The sequence below is a fragment of the Homo sapiens genome, chromosome 6 (genome assembly GCF_000001405.40).
Source record: "Homo sapiens chromosome 6, GRCh38.p14 Primary Assembly".
Classification (NCBI taxonomy): Eukaryota; Metazoa; Chordata; class Mammalia; order Primates; family Hominidae; genus Homo; species Homo sapiens.
Window position 1 is genome coordinate 24,262,612 of NC_000006.12, and position 15,763 is coordinate 24,278,374.

Here is a 15,763-nt window from a genome sequence, read left to right on the forward strand (position 1 = left end):
TACAGGAGAGGAGGAGGAGGAGTAAAGAAGACTGTCTTGCAACTTGTACACCAGCTCAGCCACAGTAGGATAGGGTGCCAGGCAGAGCCCTGATGCACTCATCCAGGCCCTAGCTCCCAGATGACATTTCCAGACACACCCAGGGCCAGAAGGGAACCCACCTTGGGCCAGCAGGGAGAAAAGCTTATTGCCTTGAAGGGAAGGACATGGGTCTGGCTGGGTTCACCAACTGCTGACTGAACAGCCCCTGGGCCTTGGGTGAACATCAGCAATAGCCAGGCAGTGGTCACTGTGGGCCTTAGGCAAGACCCAGTGTTGCCCTGGCTTTAGGTCTGATCCAGTGCAGTCCCAGTGGTGGTGGCCATATGGGCTCTTGTGTCACCCCTGCCCCAGGATCCAGGGAGCTCAGTATGGAGAGAGACTCCATTTGTTTGCAGGAAGGCAAGAGAAGGGGAAAAGAGTCTCTGCCTGGTAATGCAGGGAATTCTCTTGGATCTTACCCCAGATCACCAAGACAGTGCTTCCACGCATCTGCCAAGAGTCACAGCATTACTCGGCTTGAGGTGCCCCCTAATGCAGATGCAGCTGCAGTAACCAAAGACTTAGATTACAACACACAACACACTTGGAATACCTAGAAAGCCTTCTCAAGAAAGATGGGTACAAACAAGCCAAGACTGTGAAGACCACAACAAATATCTAACCGTTCAATGCTCGGACATCAACAAACATCCAAAGCATCGAGACCATCCCGAGAAACATGACCTCACCAAATAAACTAAATAAGGCACCAGTGACAATCCCAGAGTGATACAGATACTTGACCTTTCAGAGAATTCAAAATACCTGTTTTGAGCAAGCCCAATGAAATTCAAGATAACAGAGGAGGAAGTCAGAATCCTATGAGATAAATTTAACAAGACTGAAATTTTTAAATCAAGCATAAATTCTAGAGCTGAAAACTTCATTTGACATACTGAAGAAGGCATCAAAGTCGCTCAATAGCAGAAATGATCAAGCAGAAAAAAAATAATTAGCTTGAAGACAAGTTATTCGAAAATACACCCTCAGAGGAGACAAACAAAAAAGAATTTAAAAAGAATGAAACAAATTTACAAGAACTAGACAATAGCCGCTAAAGGGCAAATCTAAGAGTTATTGGCCTTAAAGAAGAGGGAGAGAGAGAAACAGGAGTAGAAAGTTTACTCAAAGACTAATAACAGAGAAATTCCCAAACTTAAAGAAAGATATCAATATTCACGTACAAGAGGGTTATAGAACACCAAGCAGATTTAACCCAAATAAGACAACCTCAAGACATTTAATAATCCAACTCCCAAAGGTCAAGGATAAAGAAAATGTCCTAAAAGCAGCAAGAGAAAAGAAACAGCAAATACATACAAAGAAGCTCAAATACATCTGGTAGCAGATTTCTCATTGCCAACCTGACAGACCAAGAGAGAGTGGCATGACATATTTAAAGTGAAGAAAAAAAAACTTTTATCCTAGAAAAGTATATCCAGCAAAAGTATCTTTCAAACATGAAGGAGAAATGCTTTCCCAGACAAACAAAAGCTGAGGGATTTTATCAATACCAGACCTATCTTACAAGAAATGCTAAACGTAGTTCTTCAATCAGAAAGAAAAGGACATTAATAAGCATTAAGCAATCACCTGAAGGTACAAAATTCACTGGTAATAGTAAGTAGGCAAACACAGAATATTATACCACTGTAATTGTGATGTGTAAACTGGTAATATCTTCAGTTGAAATATTAAAATGTGAACCTATTAAAAATAACTACAAAAACTTTTCAAGACAGTATAACAAATTATAAATAGAAATAATATGTTTAAAAGTTGGATGAGGTTAAACTGTAGAGTTTTTATTAATTTTCTCTTTCCTTGTTTGTTTTTGCAATTAGTGCTAAGTTGTCATTTGTTTAAAATAATCGGTTTTATAAGATAGTATTTGCAAGCCTCATGGTAACCTCAAGTCAAAAAAAAACTACAACAGATATACAAAAAAACAAAAAGCAATAAATTAAAACATACCACCAGAGAAAATTGTCTTCACTAAAAGGAAGACAGAAGAGAAGAGAAGATCCAAAACAACCAGAAAACAACAAAATGGCAAGAGTAAGCCCTTACGTATCAATAATAAGATTAAATGTAAACAGATTAAACTCTACTATCAATAGACAAAGAGTGGCCGAATGGATTAAAAAAAAAAAGAGACCTGACAATCTGTTACCTACAAGAAACACACTTCACCTATAAAGACACACACAAACTGAAAATAAAGGGATACAAAAAGATATTCCATGCAGATGGAAACCATAAAAGAGCAAAAATAGCTATACTTATATCAGACAAAATGGAATTCAAGACAAAAACTCTAAAGAGAGGCCAAGTGTGATGGCTCACACCTGTAATCCCAGCACTGTGGGAGACCAAGGTGGGCAGATCACTTGAGCCCAGGAGTTCAAGACCAGCCTGGGCAACATAGTGAAACCTCATCTCTACAACAAAAAAGAAAAAAAGAAAACTATAAAGGGAGACAGAGAAGGTCATTATATAATGATAAAGGGGTTAATTCAGCAAGAGGATGTAAGAATTGAAAATACATACTCATCCAATACTGAAGCACCCAGATATAAAAAGCAAATATTATTAAAGAGAGCAATAGACCCCAATACAGTAATAGCTGAAGACTTCAACACCCCCACTTTCATTATTGGACATATCATCCAGACAGAAAATTAACAAAGAAACACTGGACTTATTATGCACAACAGACTAAATGGACCTAATAGACATATACAGCTTTATCCAACAGCTGCAGAACACACGTTCTTCTCACCACATGGATCATTCTCAAGGATAGATCATATGTTAGATCACAAAACAAGTTTTAAAAAAACTCAAAAAAAATTGAAAACATATCAAGTATCTTCTCTGACACAATGAAATAAAACTAGAAATCAGTAACAAGAACTCTGGAAACTGTACAAGTACATGGAAACTAAATAATATGCTCCTAAATGACCAATGGGTCAATGGGTAAATCAAGAAGAAAATTAAGGAATTTCTGCAAACAAATGAAAATGGAAACATGACATAAAATGTATGGGATATAGCGAAGGCAGTACTAAGAGGAAAGTTGATAGATGTAAGTGCCTACATCAAAAAAGTAAAAAAAAAAAAATTCATATACCATAATGATGTATCTTAACTAGAAAAGCAAGAGCAAACCCAATCCAAAATTAAAAGAAATAACAACAGAGCAGAAATAAATGAAATTGAAACAAAAAATACAAAAGATCAATGAAATAAATAGTGGAAAAAAAAATAAAATTGACAAATTTTTAGCCAGACTAATAAAAAAAGACCAATGCAACAGAACAGAGAACCCAGAAATAAATCCATACACCTACAATAAATTCATTTTTGACAAAGGTGACAAGAACATACACTGGGGAAAGGACAGTCTCTTCAATAAATGGTGCTGGGAAAACTGGATATCCATATGCAAAAGAATGAAATTGGACCCCGATATCTCACCATATACAAAAATAAAATCAAAATGGATTAAAGATTTAAATTTAAAACCTCAAACTATGAAGCCACTACAAGAAAACATTGGGGAAACTCCCAGGACATTGGTCTGGGCAAAGATTTCTTGAGTAATACCCCATAAGCACAAGATTATGGGATCACATAAAGTTAAAAAGCTTCTACACAGCAAAGGAAACAAAGTGAAGAGACAACCCACAGAATAGAAGAAAATATTTGCAAACTACCCATCTGACAAGGAATTAATAATCAGAATATATAAGGAGCTAAAACAACTCAATAGGGAAAAAATCTAATACTCTAATTTAAAAATGGGCAAAACACCTGAATAGACATCTCTCAAAAGATGACACAGAAATAGCAAAAAAGTATATAAAAAGATGCTCAACATTATTGATCATTAGAGAAAAGCAAATGAACACTACAATTGAGACATCATCTCAACCCAGTTATTTTATTCGGAAGACAGACAATAAGGGATGCTGGCAAAGATGTAGAGAAAAGGGAATACTTGTATACTGTTGATGGGAATGTAAATTAGCATAGCAGAACAGTATGGAGGTTCCTCAAAAAACTAAAAATAGAACTACCATATGATCCAGTAATCCCACTGCTAGGGATATACCCAAAAGAAAGGAAATCAGTATATCAAAGAGATATCTGCACTCCATGTTTATTGCAGCACTATTCACAGTAGACATGATTTGGGAGAAAGCTACGTGCTCATCAACAGATGAATGAATAAAGAAAACGTGGTATAGACACACCCAGAGTATTATCAACCCATAAAAAAAGAATGAGATACTGTCATTTCCATCAACATGGATGGAACTGGAGGTCATTATGTTAAGTGAAATAATCCAGGCACAAAGACAAACTTTGCATGTTCTCATTCATTTGTGGAAGCTAAAAAGTAAAACAATTAAACTCACGAAGATACAGAGTAGAATGGTGGTGACCAGAGGCTGGGAAGGGTAGTGAGGGTGAGGAGTGGAGATGGTTAATGGGTACAAAAATATAGTTAGATACAATGAATAAGAGCTTTTGTTTGTCAACAGGGTGATTATAGTAAACAATAATTTATTGTACATTATTAAATAACTAAAAGGGTATAATTGGAGTGTTTGTAACAAAAAGAAATGATAAATGCTTGAGGTTATAGATACCCCATTTACTCTAACGTGATTATTATGAATTATATGCCTGTATCGAAATATCTCATGTATCCCATAAATATATATACCTACTATGTGCCCATGAAAATTAAAAATAAAACAAAACAAAAATTCTATGTCCATCCAAACTGAAAGTTAAATGTAAAAGTATGAAAATATTTTCAGACTTGCTGGGTCTCAAAAAATAATGACCATTTCTCTAGCCATTCTCCAGAAATTACTGGAGGATATGTCCTGCCAAAATGGAGTCAACCAAGAAATAAGTATACAAAAGCCCCTGGAAATGGGATCTCCACAGAAAAGACACAAAAGCAATTTTCATAATGACAGTAAGGGAAAATGCAAGATAACATCTGTGCCACAAGCCAAGAGAACAACCTTTGCAGGCTGGAACCAAAGGTCTGAGGACTCCACAAGGGAACCCTTGCACTGTACACTTAAAGTGCTCAGTCTAGTCCCTGGCACAGAGTAAGCACCCAGAAAATGTCCACTGTCCATGCTAGCTACTGATCTGATCAGAATCACACAAAAAGATGTCTGACTTAATTTTCATCAGAAATTCCCCAAGCCCTACAATGATCAGGTAATGTGTGGAAGCAGTATGCCTATTTGAGTACCCCAACGCTTCTCAAGTTGTGCTCTAAAGAACAATAATCCCACCAGATGCTCCTCAGTAATAGGGATCCAAAGCAAGTAAAAGCGTGGAATACGTCCATACTAAAGGCTCTGAGAAATCCTGTAGCAGAGACAATGACTTAACTTTGTATCATCCAACATTTCCCAAATTTGTAGTTGAACATGAAACTCATTACCAGAAGCATATATTAAAAGTACATGAAATTGGCCAGGCGCGGTGACTCACGCCTGTAATTCCGGCACTTTGGGAGGCTGAGGCAGATGGATCAGCTGAGATCAGAAGTTCGAGACCAGCCTAGCCAACATGGCGAAGTCCCATCTCTACTAAAAATACAAAAATTAGCTGGATGTGGTGGCGCATGCCTGTAATCCCAGCTACTCAGGAAGCTAAGGCACGATAATTGCTTGAACCTGGGAGGCAGAGGTTGCAGTAAGCTGAGATCAGGCCATTGCACTACAGCCTGGGTGACAGAGTCAGACTCTGTCTCAAAAGAAACAAACAAACATACAAAAAGTGCGTGAAACTACTGCTCAATGGAACCCAACTTAGGAAATGACAGTAAACGCCCTGGGTAAGAGCCTTCAGCTTAACACCATCCAGAAGCTCTTGTCGCCCAGGTTGGAATACAGTGGTGCAATCTCAGCTCACTGCAACCCCTGCCTCCTGGGTTCAAGCAATTCTCATGCCTTAGCCTCCCAAGTAGCTGAGACTACAGGCATGCGACACTATGCCCGGCTAATTTTTGTATTTTTAGTAGAGACAGGGTTTCACCATGCTGGCCAGGCTGGTCTTGAACCCCCGACCTCAGGTGATCCACCCATCTCGGCCTCCCAAAGTGCTGGGATTACAGGCATGAGCCACTGTGCCAGGCCACTTTATTATGTAATTTTAAAGGAAATAAAATCTTGCCCAGTTTCAAAGAAACAATTTGGTATTATCATCCAATTGTATAAAATAAGAATAAATGGGTAGCTTTAAACCTACAAAGCTCAAAGGTATTTTACAGATATTTTATCTTTATCTCCACTGTGATAGCACACTGCATGGTGATTTGCAATAAAGGTTATATCTTATTTTGAAAATAACTAGGGCAATAGAGAAGAATAAAAATAGAGTTCATATACAAAATAGGCCACAGACTACAAAGGAGTCCCAGGGTATCACATAAGTGAGGAAATACTCCTTCCCTGTCTCATAGTGCCAAGCAGTATTTAGTAATTGTCCCAGACATTGGACTAAATACATTTAAGTAGAAATGGCCTATGTTCTTTAGTAGTGTGCTGGTACTTTCTATAAGGACAAAATTAATACAGAGGTCTAAGAAATGACTCAATACCCAGAAGGAAAAAATGTCAATGCTTGCAACATAATTTGGCATTTAGGGATAGTGAATAAAGTCTGGTCATTGAAAGGGAAAAGGTAAATTGCATCTACTTAACCAAGGAAAATTTATTGATAAAGATATAATTATGACTATTGGAAGAAAATGTGTAAGTACTGAGCAATTAGAACAAAGAAGAGAAAATGAAATACTCTGGTGATTAGCAAGGGGTGGAGTACATGGTAGGGACTCAATAAATGTTCACTGAAAAATGAAAGTAGTGACCTAGGAAAGGGGATGGGGTTCCTAAGTCTAGAAAGTCATGAAACATGGGGAAGGAAATTCAGACACAGAGAAAGGCTTGGGTTGCAGAGCTTAAGTCCTAGAATGTTTAAGTAACTGTTTTAAAAAAGGGGATTTGATCATTTGATACAGAAACTAGAGGTCAGCCCCCAAAATATCTACCTTCTTCAAGGTCCCTAAACCCTAGAAAAGAGGGTCTAAATGCTGAAGGCAGTCCCCAGCTAAGATGTGTCAAAATAGAGAAGACCCATTATTACATCAGACTGCTAAAGAGAAAAACGGCTTGTTAGTAATGACTAACTCCGACCACCTAGAAAATAGAAGGGATGAAAATCAATCATCCCCATTTAAAAAGTTAATATGAAATAGTGGAGAGTAGAAGAAGAAACAAACAGGAACTCCCCAAAATCTCCCAGCTAAGCTTCAGGGTCTGCTGTGATACATCAACATTTTTATCACTGAAGGAAGACAGGTCAAAACACACACACGAGAGCTTCCCTCACTTGTCCCTCCACCTCCCCTTTCAAACAGTCACACAGGCACATCCACCTCTTAACCAGCAGCTATGTGTCAGTCTGGCAATTTCCAGAAATCACTAACCATTGATAGATCTTTGACTCTGGGCAAACTGGTTTCTCCTCTTTTCCCCCTCATTCACTAAGCTAGGAAAATGCTGTTTATCCATTCTAAGTATTTGTAAATGAAGCTTACAAAATATCAGATTAGAATGCACCATCAAGATGTTCTAAAGCATGGGTATCAGGAGTGTGCCATTACTCAATGCTTACAGTTTGCAGCCTTTAATTTCAATTGTCACCATAATATAGGTATAATTGACCTACATGCACACACACACATATATATCAACAAATACTGACCCTGTGCTGACTACTCTGTGCGGAATGCTCTGAACATTTATCTGTGTCCTTTACATGTGACCTATGGTCCAGGATCTGCTGATATTCTAAAGGACCGGGCCCTTTCCAGGTTTTATATCACCCCAGGCCTGACAAGGAAAACAGGGAGTTGAAGAGGGAGAAAGGGTAATAAACCCTATGGCTACATCTTCCTCCTCCCTCCACCCTGTCACCCTCTATGATAGGCATCTCACCAACATTCATGACATCAGACACCTCCCTAACCAAGCCCCCATGTGGCCCTTCCTCAGATTCCAGGATGAAATGCTCAGAGTGACCCAATTTCAGCTTCTTTCAGAAAAGCAGATAAATCATGCTTCAGTCTTTGGTATGCCAGAAACTCACCACTGGGGCGGATGCATATTTTATCTGTAGTAAGCTACAGAAAGGTTCAGACCTGGCAGGGCACAGTGGCTTACACCTGTAATCCCAGCACATTGGGAGGCCAAGGCAGGCAGATCACTTGAGCTTAGGAGTTTGAGACCAGCCTGGGCAACATGGTGAAACCCCGTCTCTATAAAAATACAAAAATTAGCCTTGTGTGGTGGCACCTGCCTGTAGTCCCAGCTACGTGGGAGGATCACTTGAGCCCAGGAGGTCAAGGCTGCAGTGAGCCAAGATGGTGCCACTGTACTCCAGCCTGGGTGACAGAGTGAGACACTCCCTCAAAAAAAAAAAAAAAAAAGAGAGAGAGAGAGAGAAAGAAAGAAAAAAAAGAAAAAAAGAGAAAGGTTCAACCTGACCTTGCAGGCAGCAGAATTAAGAAAAGGCTGTGAAACTTGTCAGAGCCCCTGGTAAGGCAAGAAGCAAAGAGGCCCTGCTTAGAAGTAATGGGTAGCATCTATGAAAAGGGAGGCAGGCAAGCCAAACTCTGGAGCTGGGGAAGAAATAAAGATGTGACAATCCCAAACTAATCCTCCTGCAGAGGATCACGCTAATAGAAGAACCTCCGCCCACACCTCAGTGTCCCCACCCGAGTAACTCCAGGTCTGGCTCCTCCAGCTCTGCATTCCTCTCAGACCCAAACCCAGATGGATCCCTGACCTGGAGGCTCTGGCCTACACCAGTAATTCAACAGAGGGCAGTTCTGCATCCTACGACAGCAGGGTAACATGAGTTCTTGGCATTCTAAAGTGGAGCTCCTCATTTGTTTTCCCACTGGAAACACCATTGTACACAGTGGGCAACCTACACAGCATCGGCAGCACAATGCAATAATTAAGATGAATTATGGCTTACATAGAATTTTATGGGGCGCTTGTATGGAAAATGTGATCTGAGTATCAAAATACCTATTTAAAATGAATTTCCGGAATGAAATCTTCCAAAGTTTTGAAAATACCTCTGTAATTCAACACCTCACAAATTTTTCCTTTTGAAAACAAAAAGCGTCTTCAAACTCAACCCTGGGCTACATGAAAAAATAACCCCCAAAAGAATTTACTGCAGAAGTCTCAACCCTATATCAGCTATGAAAGAATGCTTCCCTCATGGCTTCTCTCTATATAGTGAACAAAGTGTTTAAGAGGGCAGGATATAAAAAGAATCCTTTTCGAAAAAGGGCTAGTATTTTACTCCACTCAAATTGAGCCATACGTCTTACTAGTATTCAGCCCACTTTTAATTTTTCAGTCTCTCAGTACTAAAGTAGATAGCAAAGTACACATTTTGAAACTAACTTTTATTAATAGAGTTTAAATTCACAATAAACCTCAAGAAAATTACTAAGACCTCTCGCTGTACTAGAAATTTGTGGCACAATATATCATTCCAATAAGTGGATCATGAAGGTGTGAAAAAATGCTGATCTTAAGAATTTTTATCATACTAGTACTTGATGTATAAAATCTGACCCATATATCCCACAGTACACATTGCCATTGAGATGGGAAGTTGTGATCCACCAAGGGATAGAAAACCTGTATTTCCCTGTCATTGATTCCAGAATTTACAAGGAACTCAAAGAATTCAACAACAAAAAATAATGACAGCCCCATTAAAAAGTGGGCAAAGGACATCAATAGACATTTTTCAAAAGAAGACATAAAAATGGCCAACAAGCATTTGAAAAAATGCTCAATGTCACTAATCATCACAGAAATGCAAATTAAAACCACAGTGAGATATCAGCTTACACCAGTCAGAATGGCTGTTCTGAAAAAGTCAAAAAACAACAGATGTTAGCAAGGATGCAGAGAAAGGGCAATACCAATACACTGTGGGTGGGAATGTACATTAGTACAGTCTCCATGGAAAACAGCATGCAGATTCCTCAAAGACTGAAAATAGAATTTTCATTCTATCCAACAATTTCATTACTGGATATCAAAAGAAAACAAATCATTATACCAAAAAGACACCTGCACTTGTATTTTTATCACAGCACTATTCACAACAGCAAAGATATGGAATCAACCTAAGTGTCCATCAATGGATAACTGGAAAAAGAAAATGTGTGTATAAAGACATACACACACACACACACACACACACTTTGTGGGTATGTGTATATAGATGTAGATATACACATACATATAAACACACACAGTAAAATACTATTCAGTCATAAAAATGAAATCATGTCTTTTGCAGCAATGTGGATGGGACTGGAGGCCATTATCCTAACAAATAACTCAGAAATGTAAAGTCAAATGGCACAAGTTCTTACATATTAGTGAGAGCTAAATAATGCGTACACATGAGAGAGGGTAGAATGACAGACACTGGAGACTCGGAAAGGCGGAAGGGTGGGAGCAGGAAGAGGTATGAGAAATTACATCATGGGGACAATTTACATTATTCAAGTTATGGTTACACTAAAAGCCTGGACTTCACCATGACACAATACATCCATGTAACAAAATTGCACTTGTATCCCTTAAATTTACACAAATTAAGAAAAAAAGAAAACCTGTATTTCTGGTATAGGGTGAATGTGGTGGCAAGAGACACCAATGAATCATAAATCTTACCTTAGCTTATTAAACAACACTAGTGTGCCACTTGGTGATGTCACCTTGGTGCCTTCTTACATATTTGCTTCCCAGATTTGATATCCCTTAGGAGGTAACACGTGAGAGAGCACATTTTCCTCATGTGCTTCCGGTTTTGTCTTCAGAGTCTCTTGTTACTGGGAACCATGCAAGTGCCTGGGTTGATTCATGGCTGAACCAAAGAAGCTCAAGTTTCAATGCCTCATAACTCTGAGGATGAATTGCAGTAACGCTTCATGCTTGGGGCGATGCAGGCAAACCATGTGCAGGTTGTAGCTATTAAGAAATTCAAGAGCATGACTGCTCAAGGGCAGTCACCCAACAAGGTCATAATATTCAGACATCCTTCTGCCGGCACCACACCTGCTCCCAATCAGTCATCAGGAGTCTAAAAATCACAAGTTTCATGGAAACTATCACAGAACCACACTGGGAATAAACCAGGATTTGCATCAAGAAGAATACTGGCCCATGTGTGGGCACACAGGCGTGCCCACTCACCCAAAGTGAAAGAGAGCCACATCCATCAAAAGAATACAACTCTTATTTTTGCCTTTTTAATGCTTTGCCTTGAAAACGTACTTACAATTATCAATACAATGTAAGTCAAAGAGACCAGGCCATTTTCTCTGCAGCCCTTTCAATATTCCTACAGAGACCTAAATTCACTATACTTCTTGCGTTCACAAGGGTTCTAAAAGCACTACATTTTTTCATGTACCAAATATTAACAATACCAATTGATATGATCAATCATCCAAAATGCTATTTCAAAACAATCATCGTTACTGTTTTGGTCATAGTGGAGAATATAGCTAGTTGCCAGCCTCTAAAGCATATCTCAAGGCACTGCAACTCAAGTGGAAAGTGTAACAAAAACATGTGCTGGCCAGTTAAGCTGGTATTTAAATGCAACACTAAAAATGCATTTCACACCCAACTTCATCAATCACCAACCAATCCTACTTTGCATCTTGGCTACCAAAAGAAAATGAGATTTGTTTCCCTGAAGAAATATGTCACTGCTCTGCTTGAATTATTAAGCTTTACTATTACAGGGAGAAACAGAGTCAAAAAAAAAAAAAAAAAAAAAAAAGAAGAAAAGAAAAGAAAAAAGGAACAAAATTAGACCCAGGTTGCCATCTACAGACTGATAGAAGCATTGCACATTCATACAGCATTTGGTAACTGAATCAGTAAATATCAGATATTTTTAAAAAATAACGAAAAAATATGTGACTACAATTTTAATTATTAAAAAATCAAGATAACCTATGAAGTCTCTTTTTTTCTAATTCAAATGAAAATACTATATAGGTAAAGAACACTAGATCAAACATTTGCACAAGTTAACATATGCTAGAAAATAATCATAGCTATTCACCCTAACCCTAAAATTTATCACTTTGAAATAAAACTAAATAGCTTATTTAATATCAAATTTAAAATACATTGTAAGTAGAAAAAGCCATGTAAATTTTATCTCTAAAACCAAATTTTTGCATTTTTTTACATTATTATGAGTTCTTACACCCTTCACTTTCATTTTGCTTCAAATTCTTATTGCTTTTACCTTTATGAGGAATAAGAGCCCTCTTGAAACATGAGTATTCAAAAGCACGTACTTGGTTCTAATTACTAAAATATATGACATTAAAGTAAAAAGCAACTTCAATAATAAATGAATATGAAGGCTGAATTAAAGAGAGAAATGGAGAGGGACTTTTGATATTATAATCTGGAAAATTTCTGTAGTCAAAGACATCTGCAGGGAGATCCCATTAAGAACCAAATTGCTCAATTTTCAGTAGTATGGACTTAAGCTAATATGCTTAAAGTTATCAAGTGATGGTTTAATCTAGTGAACTGCACAAAATCCTTTTTCATTTTTCCTGGAAAAAAATTGTCTTTGGAAGCCAAGATTCATTTTCCAGGTTATATGTTCTTTCTATCCAAATGAAAAGATACAAAATGCTTCTAGATCAGTGGTACAAGCCAGTTAGTGAAGGAAAAAAAAATTCATTCCCTAAAACCTTCCTTTAAAAGACACCAGCAGCGTTTCCTGTAACAATGAGATCCAGCAATTTAAAACCTATAATCTGCACATTATAAAACCACATTGGAAAATATAGACTTAAAATGGGCTACTGTCTAAAACAACTGCAAAATTCTCTAAAGAAAAAAATAAAAGAACAGGAAGGCTTATACCTTTTCTTTTCAAAATACTATTTGCTTCAATAATAAACACTTTTTTTTATCTTCATGCCCACCAACACAAATGTTGTTAAAAACTACTGTGAATTTCTACAAAAGCAAAAATGCCAATAATTCAATTTTTTTTTTTTTTTTTTTTTTAGGCAGGGTCTAATTCTGTCACCCAGGCTGGAGTGCAGTGACACGATCATGGCTCACTGCAGCCTCAGCCGCCTGGGCTCAAGTGTTCCTCCCACCTTAGCCTCTCAAGTAGCTAGGACTACAGGTGCATGCCACTGTGCCCCACTAATTTTTTTTATTTGTTTTGTAGAAACGGGTTTTGGCTATGTTGCCCAGGCTGGTCTCAAACTCAAGCAATCCGACTACCCACCTTGGCCTCTCAAAGTGCTGGGATCACAAGCGTGAGCCACTGTACCAGCCAATAATTCAACTTTTTAATGAAGGTTACTTTCCTATGAACAAGGGATATGTTAATACAGCCTCTTGTGTTCTCAAGTTTTTACAAATGAGATAACCTGAAAAGATGATCATTCTCTTTCTTCCAGGTGACAACTACTTAATTTAAAGACTTTTTAAAAATATACTGGAAGTAAGGATTGGGATTTTCATAGGCTAACAAGAACCTCACAGAAAAGAAGCAAATAACATCTTATAAAAGGCTTTTAACAAAAAAAAAAAAATGAAAAGTTTAAGGTGGATCCTGTTTCATGATGGGTATTAAAGTATTACAGAATTAACTATTTTTAAACTTCCATCATTCATTCACTCAACATAATTATTAAGTGCCTCAGACCTGTGCCAGTTGTTGGAAATAAGAAAAAACTAGTAGGACATAGCCCAAGGCTTTGGGGGCCTCACAATCTAGTATCTATTAATTTTTTAAAGCCTCTCTTATTTTTAGTGTTCAAGGTAGGGTATGTTCTTAGGGCTAATTTCTTTTCTTTGATTCTTGTCACACAATAGGCACTCGGTAAATATTTGTTGACTGTATTTCACCCTAGCCTCCTTGTTTGCTACTCACGGGAAAGGACTGTACAAATTTCAAGATAATCAAAACTTTAAAAAGAAATCTTCATAAGAACCCACATTTTTCAGATAGATAATAGAGCTAAAGAAAAAAAAAAAGTTAAATGAGCTGCCCAAGGTCAATGGCAGAGCTGGGACGAGAATCTAGGACTCCTGACTTCCAGCTAGTCTCGATCATTTAGGTCTTTGATGATTTAGACCCCTCCACTTCTCTGTGCAACTGGTTCACCCATTTCGCCTGTTCTTTTAACCTAGCCTCACGTGTCTTTGTTCTGACTCTTTAATCATTTGTGCAGCTTCCTCTAAACTCTCACAGGAGTTCAAACTGTCTCCTCAGCTGTGAAGCTCATATTAGCTCTAATTCTAATGTAACTCTTCATATCGACTTTGAAATAAGCTGGAGCTCCCAGGTGGAAGGTAAGGCTTTGCCCATTAATCTGAAACCTGATCCCATCAGTCCTCTTCCTGGAACCCCTCACAGTCCCACGGGTGGGGTGTGGTGGGGTGGGGTGTGTGAGGGGATCTCAGGGCAAGAGGAGCAGGAGTCATTCCACTGGTCTGCTTCCCAGCCAGCCATTCCCACCCCAGCGTCACTCCACTCTGAGAACACACTGGGAATAAAACCAAAAGTCGCCCCTCTTACAAAACCCTAACATCAAAGTTAACAATTTTCATTACATACTTCCTTAGTCTACCACACTTTTATCTCATACCAGTGAAATCTTGGACTAATGCAATTTTTTATTTTTATTTTATACCATCTCTCACCTGCTAGTGCAAGATGAAACTACATCTAATTTTGCTGAATAGGTTATTGTTTACTGATAAAATGTTATGTCTATTTAGTGTTCTCTTGGTTATCAGTATAATTAACAAAATGACTTTTCAGTAAAGATGATCTTTGACTAATAAATCATAATGAATGTGGGCAAGGGTTACAGACACACAAATAAGAGACCAATATCATAGTAGTTGTAGGTAAAAATATTAATCAAGCAATATCAGTGGGAGCAGAGGATGAAAAAAACATACTTTTAAAATAAGACTACCACAAAATATATTTGATCTCAAAATAAGTGTCCTCATGGCACAACATCTAATTACAAATAAAAACCAAGCATAAAAACAGCAGCATCTCTCATATACAAATACAATTTTCTTTGAAAACTCTCATATATGAAAATAAGGAATATCTTCTGTGGGCCCAGAGAAACAATGGATCTATTTAAGAATTAAAATTGTATCACAGCCTTAAGATAATAATAACACACTTACCACTATTTGGAATGGTTTCTTGTGAATTCTTTAATTTTACATTTTGTTTCAATTTCGTCAGTTTTTCTGAATTCACGTCTTCTTTTTTCCCTTTCCTCTTCAGGGGCTGAGGAGATGAGTTGTCACTGGATCCAACTGTTGACTTAGAGTGGCGATCATTTCCCTAAATGGCAAAGTATTAGACCCTTATTATTAGCTAATGAACTCTCAAAAACATTCCCAGTAAATACATGTCATTAACTACTGGTAAGCAGGGCAGGGGCAGGGAGGTGTATTGTCCTGGTTCTGCAACTGTCTATCTTTATACATTAACTCCAAATGTATCT

The 15,763-nt window shown here is 37.8% G+C and overlaps 1 protein-coding gene across 2 annotated transcripts in view; it reads right to left on the minus strand.

The window, feature by feature from the left end:
- DCDC2 (doublecortin domain containing 2) overlaps positions 1-15,763 on the minus strand; it is a 211,538-nt gene that overhangs the window by 90,857 nt on the left and 104,918 nt on the right. For both annotated transcript variants that reach the window (NM_001195610.2, NM_016356.5), the window contains one exon: positions 15,438-15,600. In NM_001195610.2, coding sequence (NP_001182539.1) covers positions 15,438-15,600 — 163 coding nt within the window. The remainder of the gene's footprint in view (positions 1-15,437; positions 15,601-15,763) is intronic.